The sequence below is a fragment of the Homo sapiens genome, chromosome 15 (assembly GCF_000001405.40).
Source record: "Homo sapiens chromosome 15, GRCh38.p14 Primary Assembly".
NCBI lineage: Eukaryota > Metazoa > Chordata > Mammalia > Primates > Hominidae > Homo > Homo sapiens.
In genome coordinates, this window is record NC_000015.10 from 61,089,355 (window position 1) to 61,094,355 (window position 5,001).

Below are 5,001 nucleotides of genomic sequence, written 5' to 3' on the forward strand. Positions count from 1 at the left end.
GGAAAACATCCTGTTTCTCACAGATGTAGCTTTGTTCATTGCTTTTTCTTGCATGAACAATACACATATACACATGTGCACATACATGCACACAAACATGCATATATATACACAGAAAATGGCTGAGACCTGCATGGCTGAGACCTGCATCTTTCAGGAACTTGGTGCAAGGTGAAAAGGATGCCTTTCACTTGCTTGAATACACAGGCCATCCTTGGAGATCACTTCTAAAAGGTCTCTAGACAGAAGATCCTGAACCCAGAAAGGCAGTCCTGGTGTAGCCCCAAATGAAAAAGATCACCTTGATCAAGAAATTCTCCTTTAAAGGTTTCAGAGCCACATTTTTGTGTGCGTGGTGGAGAACAGACCTATCCAGCTGCAGCAAAAACCATCACCGTAGGCTCTGAAGTCCTGGGATTGGTTTCCTGAGTTCCTCTGTAGCCCACCGAGCAGTGACAAGCAGCAGGCTCCAAGGATGCCCTGACCTCATCAAGCTGTTGGCAAATACAGCTTTCCAAAGATGGAGGGTAGAACATTCCCAATTACCAGGCCAATGACCATTCTGAGGGTAGATAAAACTAAGCAAATGAATCATCCAAGGGCAACCTTTAACTATAAGACCTGGGGGCTGGAATTCACTCTATCTCTAGCCCCCACTTCAACTTTCAAAGCACCAAATGGGGCAAGCCCAGGGTTTTTGCCCAGAAGACTTTTCCTTCAGAGACATTTCTCCATTCGTAATATTCAGTAAGCAGAGAAGGATGCAAGAGTTTTTCTCTAGAGTGGGGTAAAGTGAGGATAGTGCCTGTCTAGGAACCCTGGTCTGGGTTCTGAGGATCAACCATTTCACCAATTCCTGGGTCAGGCTGCATGAATCACTTTCAAGACCTTGTATTTTTTATTCTGTTTACTAAGAGATCTGAATCAACTAGATGATCCCAAAGCTACCTTCCAGTTCTCAGTTTTATGATTCTAAGTGAAAATAACCCAAATCAAGGTGCCCCTCTGTGAATATGAATGAGGCAGTTGCCAACACACTGTCATTTGGGGGCTCTAAAAAAAGAAATACCCCAGCCTCTATTGGAGATCCCTGAGAATCTTGCCACCTAGTGATTCTTGGATCAAGCATTAAGGCTGCTAAAATGTACTCATTGTGTAATTTGGGAATGCTTGCCCATTAACTCATTATCGGCCATTTAGTCACCCATGTAAAGAAAGCTATACAATAAAGTCAGCCAAAGGTTATGTAATTTTTGTTGAGGCAGAACAGGTCTTAAATCTCTAGCCCAGGGAGATGACAGCAGCCAAAATCCATCTATACTGAAATGATTATGGAGCTCTAGACAAGATGAGACAAGAGACAAGCTGTTTAGTTAATGAGAATCCCAAATCTCTCCCGGTGAAACAGGAATCAGTGGTCTCCAGCTACCATGTCACACAGCCACACTCATTGTGATCTGCCACTGTTATTCACCCCTGCCTGATAGCTTTTGTCACCCCCAAAACGCCCCCCAAAATTCACCACCTCGACACACGCAGTCATTTATGAGTCTCAGAAGAGCTGAAAACAGTGTCTGAAAACCTCATGATCTCACTCTGTCCCTGCTAATACCTAAAACAGTCCACTGTTCCATTTACACAGGCTTTTCTTCAGCAGATTTACAAGGTAACATCTGCTTCGGAAACAGATGTTTATGCCAGAATTCTCTTCTGCTCATTAATGCTTTTCCGGTTAACATCTAACTATCTCACTCATTAGTTCTTAATAATACTTTTTGTATCCGAGCCATGCCAAATACGCACTCTTTAGAGCTCTGCATTATTGTTGCTTCTGTTGCCGTTGAATTACGCTGCTGAATAAAGGAAAAGTAAAAATAAGCCCCTCTAAGAAGGCTGCTATGTGTCAGAGCTCTATCTTTGTGAACTGAACAAGCTGAAATCAATTAAAAGTGTGTGTTTAGAGAATGCATCTCAGCTGTCTAATTGCACCACCTCTGCTTTAGGGCCAAAGTTTGACTCCCTGCCAAATTGCCATCAAAATGGGCGTCCGTAAGCGCTGCTGTACTCCCTCCGCCACTGCCTGGGCCTGATGGAAGCACTTGTGTAACGAAGGAAGCCCAGTGCACCCCAGGGCTTGGCACACACACTCCCACTTCCCAGGGGCAATCCTCAGCTGTGGGGCTCCGGCAGAAGATGCCATGAAACCTCTGGGATGAAGGTCCTGGGACTAGATAAATTATTCCACCCGACTTCCTCAGTCAGCCAGCCTTAATAGATTGACTACAGGAAGCATTCGCATGATGCTCTTTATTTATCCACAAGCAACTTCACATAACAAGAATTAATTCAGGAAAGGTAGACTCGACATACCTTTGCTGAGTGCCTAGTAGTGCGTTGGGCTGCTAAGTATTTTATACCCATCCATTATTAGAAATGTAAGTACTGCTTGTGTGTATTCATAGGCAAGGGAAAAGATAAAGTAAGGTTCATTTTTTCCTGATTTGTTCCTACAAGGGTATATGTTAAAGTGGTCTTTTAAACTTGTTTCTACAATGGCATATGTTAAAAATGGTCTTTAAACACTTTGAAACACTTGATGGTGGCCCCCAAGACTAGCTTTTATGTTTCCAGAAGCCAACACCGTAGTCAAACAATTGAACAAACCAAGATATAAATAAAGCTAAAGTTGGTCTATGCAATAATGGAAAAGCCAGTCCTCTAGGGAACTTGGGCCAACACAATGTATTGTTTGGGATCAGGAGAAAGGATGCTTAATAAATCATCAACAATAGTTTCCATGGTTACAATAAAATGTATAGTCACCTATATTGTTTAGTTTTATAACCATTCTTACAGGGAAGAAATAACGAAGGGTGCTGGTGATAAGCAAATATGAAACTCACTTAAAGGCTGGCAGTATGTTCAAAAAAATGTGAAATAAAACTGAAACTAAGTCTAATCAAGGAAACTTCTAGTTTTTAGGTCTCTCGGTAACCAACATTTCTTGGTCCCAATGAACGACATTGCAGCTCCATAATCTGCTCTGTTCTTTTTATAGTAGGTTCTTCCCTTTCTGCCTAAGTGGCTGCTTTTCAGCAAAATTACTTGGCAAACACCACTTTATCAAGTATAAATCAGATATGCTACTCTGGAATCTAAACCCACAAAGAATATGCCCCATAACACTACATGAAAATGAAAAGGAGAAACACTGCATTCTTGCTGCCAAAAGAAATGTAAAAATATGAATGAAAATGATTGCTGGGTGTGCCTTCCATGAGATTCCATTTAAACAACATTCCCCATTTACTTACATCTCTACAATCTGATGGGCTTACATATTGCAAAATGAAATAAAAGCACATTTTATGAGGAAATTAAAATGTTATGAACTGCCCTGGGTGGTGTTGGCATTATACACAGAATGGTGAGTCCTAACCACAGTCAAAACCTTGTTCCCCTCCAGTCAACAGATATCATCTGAGGCTTTGAAGCAAGTGCTAAGGGAATTCAAGCTGGAGATTTAGGGGCTCTCCACAGTGCCTCTCTCCAGATAAACTCCAGGGGATTCCAGGGTGACAGAGTAGGTGAATGCTGAAGTAGGTATAAATAAAGTATGACATTGCACCTCCCAGCCCTCTTGTTTAAACACTCCCCACTTCCAGATCTACTCTGCTGCTTCTTCCTCTATCTGCTGTCAATACTGCTGCCTCGTTCTCCTGGACTTCTGAAGTGTTTCCTTAGATCCTCTAGTTAGACTGATGGCTAATACCTATCTCATGTGACTGCAGTCACAGTATTTACTCATTTATTCCACAAAGAGATAAGGAAACAAAAAAAGGTAATATTCTTCCATCTTTAAGAGTTTTCTTAAATCCCAACTAGAAAGATAAACTTCCTTTCCTATTACTGTGTTCCTACCAATATGAACGCATTAGGTGCCACAAGAGACCATGCTAGACCCAAAGTTTCCCTAAGACAGAGCTCAAGGGCTTGCACTAAGCAGGTGTCAGGTGTGGGTCTGCCAAGGGCACCAGCCAAACAAATGATATAGGCATGAGGCCACATGGTGGACTATCTGGGCATTATCCCAGATCCTATGCCTGGAGATACAGACCAACAATGCTGCGGCTACAGAGCTGGTGACTTTCTCATCCCTGTACTCAGAAGTTACTTCGGTCACAGGGGACATGCAGAAAACCATGCAGGAGAGTAATCTATACCCCGATATGGTAGTAACTAAAGATGATGGGTCAACAATAAGTAAGCATGCTCATCTGGACTTCTATAGAATTGCTCTTTGCTTGAGGAAAGCACCTTTCACATCAACCCTTTGGAAGTGGTGGTGTGGCAAAGCTGTTCTCATGACCCATAACTCGATGGCCACCTCTGAAGCTAATCAACTGAGAAGGTGAAAAAGGAGCAGGCACATTTTCTCTTGTTCCACAAGGTCTACAAGTAGTTGTTACCCACTGACAGAGTTTCCAGAACTCCATGAAACGGGGTTTGGGCAGGCACATACTGAACGAAAAGGAAACAATGTCTGCCATGTCAATGACCTAAAGAAGACAGAGATGACCTCAGGTGAGGATTACAAACTTCTCTGCTTCCGTCGCCAAGTCCTTCAAGGCACGTGATGGCCAGAGATATTTTCCAAGGTTCAACATGGCCTAGGGCTTTGTCTCAGTTGTAGGACTTAGGCACAGGAGAGAGCCTCATGCTGGTGAACCTGGCAGGTCAAGATGTTGATATTCATTAGAAAGACTTAGCCTTTTCTCCTAAGCATAGAGCATCAGGAGGTATCCATTCCTGGGGTAACTACTCCTTTATGTGAGTGAACAAAAATAATGAGATTTCCATAGATTCCAAGGAGATATCAGAATAGTCAGAAGTCTTGCCCCCAGAAAGACCTATAGATTTAAGAGGCAGAGATTCACCTTCCAGTTTTAGGAAGGAAGATCTAGGCCATTAAATTGACCTTGGAATGGTATTTTTCCTTAC

General features: G+C 42.5%; 1 protein-coding gene and 1 long non-coding RNA gene across 14 annotated transcripts in view; both read right to left on the reverse strand.

The window, feature by feature from the left end:
* Positions 1 to 5,001, reverse strand: part of RORA (RAR related orphan receptor A) — a 741,019-nt gene that overhangs the window by 601,071 nt on the left and 134,947 nt on the right. The gene's annotated exons all lie outside the window — the stretch shown is intronic.
* Positions 1 to 5,001, reverse strand: part of LOC107984805 (uncharacterized) — a 129,290-nt gene that overhangs the window by 83,067 nt on the left and 41,222 nt on the right. The window lies entirely within an intron of this gene.